The sequence below is a fragment of the Homo sapiens genome, chromosome 9 (assembly GCF_000001405.40).
Source record: "Homo sapiens chromosome 9, GRCh38.p14 Primary Assembly".
Lineage (NCBI taxonomy): Eukaryota > Metazoa > Chordata > Mammalia > Primates > Hominidae > Homo > Homo sapiens.
This window is the reverse complement of record NC_000009.12, coordinates 77,162,766-77,178,177: the sequence shown is the minus strand read 5'-3', so window position 1 is coordinate 77,178,177 and position 15,412 is coordinate 77,162,766. Positions and strand designations below refer to the sequence as shown.

The following is a 15,412-nucleotide window of genomic DNA, read 5'->3' as shown; positions in this document are numbered from 1 at the left end:
GCGTCGTCTCGCCTCCTCGCCCCGCGCGGCTAAAGCCGGACCGTGCGGGGCCAGGGGTAGAGAACGGCCCCTCGCCGGGACTTGAACGCCAGACCCACGGAGCCCACGGCAAGTCCGCTCCGCTCGGAAAATATAGACCTTTTCATCCCGCACTCATGACCCTCTCCTTTCCCCCAAAATATAAACAACTCGAGGGCGGAGGCCAGGGAACTGCCGCCCGGCTTTACGTAACTTGACCCACAGGCGGGCGGCGGCAGGTGGCTGCACCCGGCGAGCAAGGTGCTCGAAGCCCCGAGAACGCAGGACGCCGCTCGGGCAGCGAGACGGCCGGGAAGCACGAGAGGCCGGGGAGCGGCGGCGGCGGCCTCCTTACCTTTCCAGATGCCCAGAGAGAGCTGGGACGTGTCCAAGTCCACCACATAGTCCCCCAAGAACCGGTTCAACACGTCCACGACCACCGACTCGAAAACCATGTTCCTCAGCCGTGGTGGGCACGGCAGCCGGCCCGTGCGCTCCTCCTCCCGCCGCCTTCCCCACGCCCCTCCCTCGAGGTAATTCGGTTCACCGGCTCCGGGGCGGCTTCAGCTGCGGCGCCCCCGCTGGCCCAACGCGCAGCCCTAGCGAGCCCAGCGAGAGACGGAGGCGGTCGCTCTCACGACGCGTGCGCAAGTCTGCGCGCGGCTGGAGGCGGAGCGCGGCGCAGACCTGGGCGCGCAGCCCTGAGAGGGAGGAAAGGCGGCTGCGCGGCCGCGGCTCTGGAGGGTGCCCTTTTCGCGCCGAGCCCGGCTCCTCTTTCCTGTCGGCCCCGCCTCCTCCCCATCGCCTGGCAACGGGACACCGGTCTGGAGCTACCGGATTTTTTCCGACCCCGCCCCCTCCTGCAGATCAGCGTCCCCAGCGGCCCCCCAGGGCGGGGCGGTTACGCCCGACGGGAACGCCCCTCCCCCTAGAAGGTGGTGGCCGCTTCCACGCGTATGACAGGGCTCGCCCCTGAGTAAGGGTGGGCGGATCCCAGCCCCGTCGCCAGAAGCTTCAAGGGGGCTGTCCCAGGGAGCATCTCCCCTCATCATTACAGGGTGGGAGGGTCCAGCCAGCCTGGGTGTCTTGGTGCCTGTAACCTCCCCGCCTGGTCCTCCGACCGCCTGGCTCTCAGGAGGAGTTAACTTCCTGCTGCGAGTCGAGGATGGAGTTACATAGTCCCTGCCCTGCATCTGAGATGAGCACCCATTTTTGGTCAAGTCATTTATACGGAGCTGTCTTTCATTCCAAAGAGTAACACGCTTCCCTGCAGATAAGAGTTGGAGTCAGCCGGTCTGGAAACTGCTGAACACCCTCCAAGAAATACTGGGAGTGCTGGACCCTTGACCCCTATGCCTCCACCGAACCACTGACCTAAAATAAATTACAATTACAGATCTTTCGACCTGTTTGGTCTTACTTAGAAGTAATCCCAAAGGCCTGAGGTCACAGAGATGCTAAATGTGAGGTTTAGAGAACTGTAATTAATCATCTGCAGGACCGAAAAAGTGTACATTGAGCGTTTTCTCTTTACACGTTAAATGAATAATGATGGATTTCTATTAATTCCTGTGTCATTTTACTACTTTTTGTGCATAGTCACCGACTTTTCAAAATTAAATGTTTAGGGTGTGCCTTTGCAAGTAGAATGCCTGACAAAAACTGTAAGTTTTTACCTGAGTTTATGAATGTTTTTCATATAATTTTATATTTGAAGGACCTTTATGAGGTCTCCAACCTCCTAGTCTTAAATATAATGAAGCTGAAGTGTTAGGGATGTGTGCAAGGTCATACAACCAATGTTCTGTGGAAGAACTGGAACTTGGCCCTTCTGATTGGCTACCACCCCACCTGCTTCTCTCTCATTCAGCTAACAGTCTGCTTCAGAATACCTGCACGGAGAAACGAATAGAGGCTAAAATGCCTAGGAAGGGGAAGAGCTCTACATAATGAGGCATTTTGCCATTGCACTATTAATAAGAAGCCAGATACACAGTAGCTGCAAAATTCCGCTGTTATATCTAGCGCTGCAAATTCAAAGTTACAAGAATTTCCAGAACTCCAAAAATCCATCTTAAGTATCTTGCAAACGTTTTCATATTAGTTTTCTACGATCTAGGAAAATTTTGTGGAAGTGAGGAAGGGGAAGGGATGTTGCTGAAAAGTTAGAGGTATAAGCATAAAGCAATGAAAAAAAATTCTGCTGAGGAAGAGTTAGAAATAAGTGGATGCATATTGTAACCGAATTCTTATCTAGTGTTAGATGTATATGAACATGCTTTGTAAATACTAAAAGACAACATTTTGCATTCAGTCTTTGCATTGCTTAATCCATCTAAGGAAGTTTGTAAGCAAAAATATATTAACATCATCATGTAAAAGGTATGCTCATTAAACCATTAAACCAAATTTCTGTTGTACCTTGAAAAATAAGCCCAATGACTACCATAAAAACTCGAGTTTCAAATTAGGAAGTATGTCAGTGTATGTTATTCTTTCTCTAGATCACAATTAAAATGCTATACTTCATTGTTTGATCAAATGGAAAAACAAAAGAGGGGGAGAGCATCTGAATGACCCCAAACTGCAATATCATCTAACTTTACAATAAATCTCTAACTTTGCAAGTAGGACTTGCAGTTTTATGTATACCTTCCATGCCACAGCTCTTCGTCTTTAAAGTTTTGGTGTACTGGTAGTAATCTTGGAATTTTTTTTTCTCCTAATCTTAATTCTTTTGTCCACAAGTAAATGTCATTGGTGGGCTGCTTGTCCTTATCATTCCCCATGGGCATTGTGGTAGCAGGCTAGATGGCCAGATAACAAAGCTGTTGAAGCAGACCACAAAGCTGTTGAAGCAGAAGATGTCCTGGAGGAACAAGTGTAGAAGATGGCCGTTTTATAGGTATGGGACTTTTACTGATCTAACTTCACAGAGCCCTGTGCTCCATCTGTTTATGCTTTAAAAATTTTAAACAATAAAAAGTTATTTGGAGCCTGGCATGGTAGCACATGCCTGTAGTCCCAGCTACTCCAAGGGTGAGAGGATCCCTTGAGCCCAGGAGTTTGGGGCTGCAGTAAACTATGATGGTGCCACTGCATTCCAGCCTGGGTGACACAGTGAAAAAAAAAAAAAAATTCTTTAGACCATGTGTTCCAATCCTTAATAAAAAGAGAAAAATTCACTGGAAGGGGAATACAAGCAAAAAGGTAAAAACCTTATAAGAATCTTACTTAAGGCCAGGCACAGTGGCTCATGCCTGTAATCCCAGCACTTTGGGAGACCGAGGCAGGTGGATCACCTGAAGTCAGGAGTTCGAGACCAACCTGGTCAACATGGCGAAACCCCGTCTCTACTAAAAATACAAAAAAAAAAAAAAATTAGCCAGGCATGGTGGCACACACCTGTAATCCCAGCTAGTCAGGAGGCTGAGGCAGGAGAATCGCTTGAACCCAGGAGGCAGAGGTTGCAGTGAGCCAAGATCACACCATTGCACTCCAGCCTGGGCAACAAGAGCAAAACTCCATCTCAGAAAAAAAAAAAAAAAGAATCTTACTTAAGCAGGGCAGGGGAAAATGTAAATTGTCACAATATTTCTAAAAGGCAGTTCCTAAACATTTACAAACTGACATAGTACATATGTGTATATATATCAGCGTACATACATATATATACGTACATGTGTATATGACGAACTCAGCAATCCCACTTCCACAGATTTACTCTAAGAAAATAATTATAAAAATCCAAAAAATTATTCCCACAAGAACTTTTTTTTTTTTTTTTTTTTTTTTTTTTTTTTTCAGAAAGAGTCTCGCTCTTGTCACCCAGGCTGGAGTGCAATGGTGCGATCTTGGCTCACTGCACCCTCCGCTCCCAGGAGGGTTTAAGCGATTCTCCTGCCTCAGCCTCCAAGTAGCTGGCATTACAGTCGGGTGCCACCACACCCGGCTAATTTTTGTATTTTTCAGTAGAGACAGGGTTTCGCCATGTTGGCCAGGCTGGTCTCCAGCTCCTGACCTCAAGTGATCCACCCATCTCGGCCTCCCAAAGTGCTGGGATTACAGGCTTGAGCCACCAAGCCCAGCCAAGAACACTATTTAAAGCATTGTTTATAATAGCAAAAAGAAATGGAAACGACCGAAATATCCATTAACAGGGAAGCTGGTTAAGTAAACATACACACGTAGTGGGTTACTATACAGGCATTAAGATGATAATGAAAGTCTATACTAGTGTGGAAGGATGTCGATAATATATGCTCATGAGAAACAAGGTGCAGAATAGTATCCCACTAATTATACAAATTGGTGAGTTTTTAAGTGTGCAGAGCATTTACATACAGAAAGAAATCTAGAAGTATGCTCACCAAATATTAACAGTGGTTATCTCTATATGGTGAGACTTTTGGCAATGTGTATTTTTTCTGTTCTTTCAAGTTTAATTTTTTTGTAGTGAGCATGTATTATTTTGCCCTTCTAAACTGGTGAAGAAGATGTATCAGAAATGCTATTATGTTGTATGTTATCTTATAACTCTCTGGGAAAACTATGTATGCACATTGATGAATTGCTGTGAGCGGGTTCTGAACCTTATCGGATAATTGATAGACATGGATGTGAACTCTCAAAAGCCTACCAAAAGACATGAGCAGACATTTCCTGAAGAGTATATACAGATGGAAACAAGCGCATGAAAACATGTGCAACATCATTAGCCATTGGGGAAATGAAAAGTAAAACCACAATGAGATATCAGAATATCTTATCATATTATATCTATCAGAATGGTTGGAAAAAATAGTGACAATACCAAGGCTGGTTAGGATACTGAGAAACTGGATCATTTATTCACTGGAGGTGGGGTTGTGAAATAGTTAAGCGCTCTGGAGAACAATTTGGCAGTTGCCACAAGAACTAAACATGCACTTACTATATGACCCAGCAATTGCACTCCTGGACATTTATCCCAGAAAAATGAAACCTTATAGATCACACAAAAACCTGTACATGAATAGCCAAAACTTGGAAACAGCCCACATTTTTTTCAACTGGTGAATGTTTAAACAAACTGTGGTACATCCACACTGTGGAATACTCAGCAATAAAAAAAGGTGAACTATGGATACATGCAACAACTTGGATGGATCTCAGGGGAATTATGCGAGTGAAAACATGTATTATTATATTTGTGAAACACTCTTGAAGTAACAAATTTATAGAGATGGAAAACAAATTAGTTGTTGCCAAAGGTTAAGTATAAGTAGGATGGATAGGTGCGGCTACATATGGATAGCAGGAAGGAGCCTTATGTTTATGACACACTTCTGTATCTCGATTGTGGCAGTGGTTATATAAAATTGCATTAAACTACACACACACGTAAGTGCATATAAAAGTGGAGAAATCTGAATAATCTCCATGGATAGTACCAATATCTTTATTTTCTTATTGTGATATTGCATTATAGTTATATAAGATGTCACCATTGGGGAAAACTGGGGTGAAGGGTATATGGGACCCCCCCTATAGATTTTTTTGCAACAACTCTCTATCAAAGTATAATTATTTTTAAAATAATTTTTGAAGGGTTTGCTGAGTCAAAGTCAACTAGGAGATGCCCCAGAGAATGAGATAAGCCTGAGAGTTAACAGCTCCTACATAATAATTTAATATCCCTGCACGGGGTGCCTGGTAAAAATATTCAAGAAAGAAAAGTATCTGAATGTGGTGACTTACCAGCATGTATTGAAATATCAATTATGCTGTGATCCCGGTAAAATACTTGAAAGAGGGATGTACAATAAGGGACTCTCAAGCAACTTCCTCTGACTCTAAATACTTAAAACACCTGAGCTCTTCCCAGAAAAAGAGGGTACCAAATACTGATGTCCACCAGTGCTTTTGATCTCAGATTTTAACATGGCTGATATTAAAAGCTGATTCCTTGTGATTCAGCTCTGTGCTCAGATATCACCTAATCATAGAGGTGATGTCTTCCCTGACCTCTCAGTCTCTAGTGGCCAGCAGTTATGCTCTGCCATATCACTTTAGCAGCACCTTAATCTAGCTGGCATTTTTTCCAACACTTGCAGAATCAGCATTACCTCACTATCTCAAAACAGTCAGAACCAACTTCATTGTTCCCCATCCTTAGAAGTTTGCTTCTCAGAACTCAGAGGCACAAGGGCCAGTCAAGCATCCCCTCGCCTCAGAAGTCTGAGTTTCAGTTTGAGGGCCCCTCTTCTAAATTTCCAAGTCTGTCCCTTTGCTCACTGAACCCTTGGGGTTGTATCTGGTTTTTGCAGTAACTGCCTCCTCAGTACCTTAGAATTCTCTCTTTACCTTTTCACTACTTAATTACTTATCTAGTTAACAATTCTGTACGTACCTATATCTATAGAAAGGGGAGTTGGGGCCTGCAGCTGAGTCTGTGCAAGGGAGATGTTTGGCTGAGAGAGGGAAGCCATGTAATCAAAGGGAGTAAATACAAATTATGACTGAGGAGGGAAGCCAGGCTCAGGGCCAGAGAGCTGCTTAAGTGTCAGGACAGGCAGCAACTGCTAGTCTATAAATAGGTAATGAGCCCAAGGGTCAAAGGTTTGGATAATCAAGAACAGGTCAATCAGTGCAGTATGAAGTAGGTCCAGGAGAAGGATGGAGAGGTGGGGCTGTGCATGTGGCGTGCTGAGAGTTTGTTCTTAATTGCCCTGTGGCACAGGGGCAGTGGGCTTAGATAGCTCACTCTGAACTGAATCCACTGATACCACTGCCCCTCCTTGTTTGTTCAGCCCAACCTCTCCATTTGTGAGCCAATATTGATTTAGACAGGATGTGAAAGACCTCCCAGAATGAACTCTCTTCCTCTCTGGACTTCCAAATATTGACCATGATCTTGATTTCCTGCCTCTGATTTCTTTCCCTCCTTTGTGAACCATTGACTGAACTAGAAGCTCTGTGTTCCATGTGTGTGTTGCTATTTCTGTTAAGCCCTTCCCCAGAGCCTGGACCACATGTCAATGTGCAGTTCTAAGGACAGCCACTGTCACTCTGCCTCACCTACCCTCCCCTACTTATCTGTTAATGCAAGTAAAATAAAACATACAGGTAGGAAGCACTGACCAGGATGGAGTGGGGTGGGAAAGTCCCGGAGTTAAAGAGCAGTGAAAGTCCATTATGGAGATTTAGGCAGGAGGTAATTATAGATCTCAACTAGGCCAATGCAATTCAAATGAATAGAAATACATTGATGTGATGGAGGTCATAAACGTGGAATTTATAGCCTTCGAAATTGATTAACTGTGGTAAATGAGGTAAATATAATAATTCCAAGATTGTGTCATTTATAGCAACTGAAACATGAAAACAAGACATTGGTTTTATAGGAGATGATAAAGAATTTTAGTTTTAGGTTCCATGAGATTTGAAATCTAGGGGAAAATATTTGGGACAGAGTGTAAATAGTAATTCAGGAGGAAATGTCTAGTGTTAGTTAGAAATTAAGGAATGGGGTTCCAGTGAGAGTCTAGAATAAGAGATGAAGGCTTGGGACTCCCTACACAGAAGCAACCGTTGATACTCAATGGATGGATGACACTTTGGAGTAAAGAATTATAAAGAAAAGCAGAAGAATGAGGACTGAACTGTGAAGAAACCATCTCATTTAGGGAGGAACAAAATGAACTTGAGAAAAGAGACCTACAACAAAAGCCAGTATACCTGGAGTGGGCTGACATAGAAATCCAAGAGGACTTATAGGAAGAAAGGGAGGTCAGCAGTAACAAAAGTGTAGGGATGTCAAGAAAGATAGAAACTCAGAAAATGGCCGGGCACGGTGGCTCACACCTGTAATCCCAACACTTTGGGAGGCCAAGGCAGGCAGATCACCTGAGGTCAGGAGTTGGAGACCAGCCTGACCAACATGGAGAAACCTCATCTCTACTAAAAATACAAAATTAGCCGGACATGGTGGCACAAGCCTATAATCTTAGCTACTCGGGAGGCTGAGGCAGGAGAATCGCTTGAACCTGGGAGGCAGAGGGTGCAGTGAGCCAAGATTGCGCCATTGTACTCCAGCCTGGACAACAAGAGCGAAACTCTGTCTCAAAAAAAAAAAAAAAAAAAAAAACCCTCAGGAAAAAAAAAGTGAATTTAGCTATTACTGAGTGTAAGCAAGTTCTTTTGATTCACCTAAGAGATGTCTACCCAGGGTCATTTAAAAAGTCACAAATAGAGAATATATTTCAATAACAAAAAAGGTTACTACCAAATTTGAACCTCATGTTTACACTTTTATTTAGAAAATTAAGTTGACATCAACACTTACCAAGTACTTAAATGCACACTGTTCCTTCAATATTAGTAGAGAGATTCACTGTCAATGGAGATGCATTAGCTTGATAAATGTACACAGTATTTTTTGTATTTCTATGATATCTAAACTATTCTTGTTCTAGTATATGCTTTTATCATCACAATATAACATAATTCCCAGTAAGAATCTTAACTAATTCATAAGTAAACAAAGCACTCACTTTCAAATATCCTATTTTCTGACTGTTTTAATCACATTTTAGCATTCTTTTTTTTTTTTTTTTTTTTTTTTTTGAGATGGAGTCTCGCCCTGTCGCCCAGGCTGGAGTGGAGTGGCACGGTCTCAGCTCACAGCAGCCTCCACCTCACAGGTTCCAGCAATTCTTCTGCCTCAGCCTCCTGGGTAGATGGGATTACAGGCATATGCCACCATGCCCAGGTACTTTTTGTATTTTTAATAGAGACGGGGTTTCACCATGTTAGCCATGCTGGTCTTGAACTCCTGACCTCAGTTGATCTGCCTGCCTCAGCCTCCCAAATTGTTAGGATTACAGGCGTGAGCCACTGTGCCCGGCCAGCATTTTTTTTTCTTTTTTTGGAGACGGAGTCTTGCTCTGTTGCCCAGGTTGGAGTGCAGTGGTGTGATCTCGACTCACTGCAACTTCCACCTCCCAGGTTCAAGCGATTCTCCTGCCTTGGCCTCCTGAGTAGCTGGTATTACAGATGTGCACCACCACACCTGGCTACTTTTTGTATTTTTAGTAGAGACGGGGTTTCACCATGTTGGTCAGGATGGTCTTGAACTCCTGAGGTCATGATCTGCTTGCCTCGGCCTCCCAAAGTGCTGGGATTACAGGCATGAGCCACTGTGCCCGGCCAGCATTCTTTATTTAATAACTATTTGCCTGGAAATATGCTAGTCTATAAAGAGCTGTTTTATGAACTATATATAAAACTGTTTTCTAAGTTTATGCACTTATATAAATCCTGGTAAGACATACCATTGCTGACCTAATAAACATATATGTGAGGTTGTAAGAAAACAACAAATCCCTTGTTCCCTAGTATATATACACGTGCACACACAGACATGTGCTGTAGAAGTTGTAATATGATCCAGCACTTATCAATAAATAATATTTTCTACATCATGGAGAGCTAGCTTAAGTACTTTATATAGAGAGAATTTACATACAGTATCACAGATAGAGGACAGATATGTAATTACAGAAAAGGCTATTGGTACAATTAAGCCTCATGTATAACACTAGTACGTTTCTTTTTCTTTTTTTTTTGAGACGAAGTCTTGCTCTGTCGCCCAGGCTGGAGTGCAGTGGCGCGATCTCGGCTCACTGCAAGCTGCGCCTCCCAGGTTCACACCATTCTCCTGCCTCAGCCTCCCGAGTGGCTGGAACTACAGGCGCCTGCCACCATGCCTGGCTAATTTTTTGTATTTTTTAGTAGAGACGGGGTTTCACCATGTTAGCCAGGATGGTCTCTATCTCCTGACCTTGTGACTCACCCACCTCAGCCTCCCAAAGTGCTGGGATTACAGGCGTGAGCCACCGCACCCGGCCCTAACAGCAGTATGTTTCTAATTAAATTATTTAGTTCAATTCAACAATTACTTACTAAGTTAAACCTGATAATGTCTAAAGTTTTCCGATGCTCATATTTTATAAAACCTTACTTCCCAAAGAGCATGGACATAATGTTCCCAGAATCTCTTCTTTGAAAGAAGTCATGGTGTTTTTCCACTGCTAAGAAGACTAGGCCAGGTGTGGTGGCTCACACCTGTATCCTAGCACTTTGGGAGGCCTAGGCAGGCGGATCAGCTGGAGGTCAGGAGTTTGAGACCAGCCTAGTCAACATGGTGAAACCCCCGTCTCTACTAAAAACGCAAAAATTAGCCATACGGGGTGGCGGGCGCCTGTAATCCCAGCTACTCGGGAGGCTGAGGCAGGAGAAGGGTGTTAACCCGGGAGGCGGAGCTTGCAGTGAGCCGAGATCGCGCCACTGCACTCCAGCCTGGGCGACAGACCGAGACTCCGTCTTAAAAAAAAAAAAAAAAAAAAAAAAAAAAAAAAGATGGAAAAAAAGAAGAAGAGTAGTCTCTGTCAATTATCACATTTATATTCTTCGTAGATTATACACTCTGCTTTTTATATCCAAGGAAATTCTGAGTCAGATGCACCAGTTCGGTTTCATTAATGTTAAATTAGCTGATTCCAGCATCAGTCAGAGATTGAAATGTCTTCAACTTTCCCTTCCAGAAGGTTAAAAGAGCGCCATCTAGTGGATTTTTAAATATAAAATCCTTCCAAATCTGTATTCAAATTGAACTACTGTAATCATCGGTTTTAAAAGAAAACTTTCATTTTAAATGACAGTGATTATAAATCAATTATATATTTTATAAAATGAATCCTAAACATCCTTTCAACTAAACTTCAGATTTGAAAATCAAACTTAGTAATGTTAGCTTATGACATTTTTAACCACATATTTTTACTACTGAATTGGTTTCTCTTCTATTTGAATGTTAATTATGGCATACTAAAGATTTTCTTGCTTTTCATATCCTTTTAAGAAAGACTCAGTTGATTGCAGCTTTGTGGTATTGAAAACAAGTTTGGCTTTGTTTTTTTCTCAACATTATACTGTTAATGGACCAATTCTTAAACAAAGAAGGTTTAATTCTACTCACTGGCTATGTCAGACATTTGAGCTGGTCTATGAGGAAGTATAGAATTTGAATTTGTCCTTTAGTGTCCGTGGTCAATACAAACTGTTTGATTTTTTCTCTAATTGCATAAAATTCATCAATGCATTTGGAATGAAAAGAACAACATGAGGACTGCCTCAGCCTTAACTACTGACACCTCATCATCAGACTAGCGGGCCTGTAGACAATGTGAGTAGTAAAATTAAGTCGGCGTCTCTATGCAATCCTGCAAATGCATTTAAAAAATGGATAGCAATGGTCAGGCAACCATATGGGTTGATGGGAATACAAGTTCATAACTTCCAGCTAGATTGTCTTTTCACTCTTGTTTATTCTCTTCATTATTTTTCTATTTTGTTCCTTTTAGCTTGTATTCCTCAAATTCCCCCAAATGATCCCTCTTCACATTGAGATCGCTCTTCAAATACCTCCTAATTGAAGCAGCTTTCCTTAACTATATTCTCAAAAATAACACTATCCCTGTATCCCTCCTCTACTCCTTAGTATTCTTTTTCTACTCTGCTTATTTCTTACAGTACTTATCACTACTTATTTGCTTGTTTTCTGTCTCCCTCTGTAATAATTTCACCATTGATTCCATTATTTTACCTCTCTCTGTATCTGGTCATTTAACTTTGCAGCATTCCCCTATTGTGAGGGGGGCATTCCGCCTCATTCTTTGATTCTGCGTTCGTTCATGTGACTTGCTTAGGCCAATAACACATTAGCTGCTGTGATGCAAACAGAGCTTGGAAAGCACCTGCACAGTTAGTCTTTCTGTCTCCCTCTGGGCCATTGCAATGGAAACATGCCTGGCCTAGGCTGCTAGGCAATGAATGATACGTGGAGCAGTGCCAAGTCACCAAGATTGCCCCAGTCTCTTTGATTGGCCTAACCTGCCCCTTATGTTTTTCTTTTCTTTTCTTTTCTTTTTTTTTTTTTTGAGACGGAGTCTCACTCTGTCGCCCAGGCTGGAGTGCAGTGGCACAATCTCGGCTCACTGCAAGCTCCGCCTCCCGGGTTCACGCCATTCTCCTGCCTCAGCCTCCCAAGTAGCTGGGACTACAGGTGCCCGCCACCACGCCTGGCTAATTTTTTATATTTTTAGTAGAGACGGGGTTCCACTGTGGTCTCGATCTCCTGACCTCATGATCCGCCCGCCTCGGCCTCCCAAAGTGCCCTTATGTTTTAAGAATTCTAATAATGAGGTTTGTTTTTTTTTTAAAGGACACTGCATTTGGAGGTGGTTTGTTATATAGCAATAACTAGTTAGTACACCCTCTCATAGAATACAAACTCCCTGAGTGCCAGGAGTTTGTATTTTCTTTATTGCTACATCCCTAGCACCAAGCACCGTGCCTGAAGTAGATATATGTTGAATAAACAAATCGGATGAGGCAGGTAAGCCATATATTAGAGCTTAAGTAATAACTTTTCTGACCATCTGTCTTTTTATAGGGATAGATTCTTTAACATGGAGAGAAATGGGTAGGCTACTTATCCAACAGGCAATTCTCCAAAAATATTTTTTTTATCTCATTCAAGCTTTTGATAAGTATTAAGGAGTAGTGAGTTCAAGGTTACATATTTTACCAAGTGTTTTAAGTGTAACTATTTAAAGTGTGCAGCAAATTGCTGTAATGATCAACTCTAATGAGATGGCATTACAACTGGCTTCCTTTTTAGGATCACTGAGTAGCTCAACAATGAAATATATGAAAGCCAGTTCACCTCCATATAGAGGTGGGCTCAGGTATACCTTGTGACCAACAGGTCAGTTTGAGGTAGTTCTGAATTCAAGATGATGAGTAAGTTAGACATCAAAGTTCTGTGTCAAAGAGCATGGCTACAATATTTTTTAGATTGAAATTAAGAGAAAAAAATGTTGCCTTAGTCAATTTTCTGCAGCTATAACAGAATACCACAGATTGGGTAATTTATAAAGAACAGAAGATTATTTGGCTCACAGTTCTAGAGGCTGAGAAGTCCAAGAGCAAGGCACCAATGTCTGATGAAGGTCAACCCATGGCAGAAAGCATCACGTAGCGAGTCCACCAGACAGAAAGATAAAATAAAGATAAATAAAATAAAAAATAAAATAAACTAAAATAGGGTCCGCATTTAATCCTTTTGTCTGGAGCCCTCTCTCAAGGTAACCTACCCACTCTCTCAATAATAGCATTAATCCATTCATGAGAGCTCTGCCCTCATGACCCAGTCACCACTCAAAGGTCTCACCTCTCAGTCTGTCACAAATGGCAATTAAATTTCAACATGAGTTTCAAACGGGATATTCAAACCATAGCAGAGGTATTACCAAATTGTCACACAAGTTGTTTTTTTAAAATGTAGTAAAAAGTACTGACTAGGCACAGTAGCTCACGGATGTAATCCCAGCACTTTAGGAGGCCAAGGCAGATGGATGGCTTGAGGCCAGGAGTTCGAGGACAGCCTGGCCAACCTGGCAAGACCCTGTCTTTACTACTAAAAATACAAAAATTAGCCAGGTGTGGTGGCACATACCTGTAATCCCAGATACTTGGGAGGATGAGGCACAAGAATCACTTGAGTCTGGGAGGTGAAGGTTGCAGTGAGCCGAGGTCACGCCACTGCACTCCATCCTGGGCGATTGACTGAGACTCTGTCTCAAAAAAAAAAAAAAAAAAAAAGAAAAGAAAAGAAAAGAAATTTAATTGTCATTGTAACAGCGTTAGGAGGTGGGGCTGCCTTTAAGAGGTTATTAGGCCATGAAGGCTCCACCTTCATGAGTAGGTTTAATGCTTTAATAAAAAGTCTTTCAGTTGGGCTCTCTCTCTCTCATATGCCCTCTCACCTTCCACCATAAGTTGACACAAGAAGCAGACCCTCACCAGATGCTAGTACCTTGATATTGGACTTTCCAGCCTTCAAAACTGTGAGCCAATAAATTTGTGTTCATTATAAATTACCCAGTCTGTGGTATTCTGTTATTGCAGCATGAAATGAACTAAGGCACCACCCAACGATGATTAGCTTAGAGAAGTGTTGCTCAACTAGGAGTGATTTTGCTCCTCATGGGACATTTGCCAATGTCTTCAGACATTCGACGGAGGCCAGACATGCTGTTAAACATTCCACAATGCACAGGAAATCCTCCTACAACAAATAATTAACCAGCTCCAAATGTTAATAGATTGAGGTCGAGAAGCCCTGGCTTAAAATCTAATAATTATGTAAAACAAGGGAATACATTTTACTTAACTTGAATTAGGGGACAACAATTCTTAAAATTGGATATTTAGTCTCTCTCAGTAGCTGGGATTACAGGCCCATGCCACCATGCCTGGCTAATTTTTGTATTTTTAGTAGAGACGGCGTTTCGCCATGTTGGCCAGGCTGGTCTCAAACTCCTGGCCTCAAATGATCTGCCTACCTCAGCTTCCCAAAGTGCTGGGATTACAGGCATGAGCCACAGCTCCGGGCCTGAAAACAAGATTTCAAAGTTGTGATGTTATTAAAATACAGGATACCCTTAAAGTTTACTCTTTCAAATTTTTAAAAGAACTCAGCAGAAAGATGTGCAATTGATTTGAATAGACAATTCGTGAGAGAAATAAATACCTAATAAATGTATAAGAATATGTCGTTTCCAGCTAATAAAATATATCCAAATAAAAAACAAGAAAGTGCTTCTCACCTATAAAATTGACAAAGATTTAAAAAATTGGTAGCACCCAGAGTTCTGAAGGAAATGGTAAATGGGAAACTTCCAACCCTACTGATAGCAGAAGAAATTGGTATAATTTTTCTGGATGTCCATTCGACAGTATTTGTAAATAGCTTTTGGATTGTGCTTAACCTTGAGCCAAGTAGTCTATTTTTAGTAAATTATTTTAAAGAAAAATAATCATTTATTGAATTCTACTTCTGAGCCAGGCTCTGTAGTGCCACTTTATAGACATAAGTATTTAATCCTTACAACAACTTTGCAAGCAGATATTATTACCAACTGTTACAATTGAGGAAACTAATGCACAGAAAGTTTTAGCAATAAGCCAGAGATCAAACTACTGGAATAGTTTATACACAAGTCTGCCTTATTTTTAGGAAAAATGGACATATGTGCAAATCTGTAGGAATGAGGATGTTTACTGCATAGTGTATAATAAAGAAAAGTAGAAAATAAAGCTCATTATCCATTAATAGAGGAATTATTATGCAAATTGCATTCATTCAAATGATCATATACATTTTGAAAGAAAATGTATTTAGAATATCTTAAGTTCAAAAGGTTGGTTAAAAATAAAAGAGTGTTAACAGCCAATTTTTTTTTTTTTTTTCGAGACGGAATTTAGCTCTGTTCCCCAGGCTGGAGTG

The 15,412-nt window shown here is 41.9% G+C and overlaps 1 protein-coding gene and 1 long non-coding RNA gene across 5 annotated transcripts in view, besides 6 other annotated features; one reads left to right on the top strand and one right to left on the bottom strand.

Moving 5' to 3' along the window:
• VPS13A (vacuolar protein sorting 13 homolog A) overlaps positions 1-644 on the bottom strand; it is a 244,004-nt gene extending 243,360 nt beyond the window's left edge. For all 4 annotated transcript variants that reach the window (NM_033305.3, NM_001018037.2, NM_015186.4 and 1 more), the window contains exon 1: positions 374-644. In NM_033305.3, coding sequence (NP_150648.2) covers positions 374-473 — 100 coding nt within the window. In that variant the 5' untranslated portion in view covers positions 474-644. The remainder of the gene's footprint in view (positions 1-373) is intronic.
• On the top strand, positions 261-1,422 carry VPS13A-AS1 (VPS13A antisense RNA 1). The gene is made up of 2 exons (NR_026668.2): positions 261-551; positions 1,272-1,422. It is a non-coding gene; the product is annotated as a VPS13A antisense RNA 1 (long non-coding RNA).
• Positions 631-925: an enhancer, noted in NCBI's record as "tiled region #12012; K562 Activating DNase matched - State 4:PromP". NCBI's record gives its function as "activates a minimal TATA promoter and a strong SV40 promoter by Sharpr-MPRA in K562 cells {active_cell/tissue: K562}" and the evidence as "EXISTENCE:reporter gene assay evidence [ECO:0000049][PMID:27701403]".
• Positions 631-925: a silencer, noted in NCBI's record as "tiled region #12012; HepG2 Repressive DNase unmatched - State 1:Tss". NCBI's record gives its function as "represses a minimal TATA promoter and a strong SV40 promoter by Sharpr-MPRA in HepG2 cells {active_cell/tissue: HepG2}" and the evidence as "EXISTENCE:reporter gene assay evidence [ECO:0000049][PMID:27701403]".
• Positions 631-1,016: a biological region, named in NCBI's record as "Sharpr-MPRA regulatory region 12012".
• Positions 687-1,016: a silencer, noted in NCBI's record as "silent region_19965". NCBI's record gives its function as "represses an Ori minimal core promoter by ATAC-STARR-seq in GM12878 lymphoblastoid cells {active_cell/tissue: GM12878}" and the evidence as "EXISTENCE:reporter gene assay evidence [ECO:0000049][PMID:35858748]".
• Positions 6,811-7,105: a silencer, noted in NCBI's record as "tiled region #10899; K562 Repressive non-DNase unmatched - State 23:Low". NCBI's record gives its function as "represses a minimal TATA promoter and a strong SV40 promoter by Sharpr-MPRA in K562 cells {active_cell/tissue: K562}" and the evidence as "EXISTENCE:reporter gene assay evidence [ECO:0000049][PMID:27701403]".
• Positions 6,811-7,105: an enhancer, noted in NCBI's record as "tiled region #10899; HepG2 Activating DNase matched - State 8:EnhW". NCBI's record gives its function as "activates a minimal TATA promoter and a strong SV40 promoter by Sharpr-MPRA in HepG2 cells {active_cell/tissue: HepG2}" and the evidence as "EXISTENCE:reporter gene assay evidence [ECO:0000049][PMID:27701403]".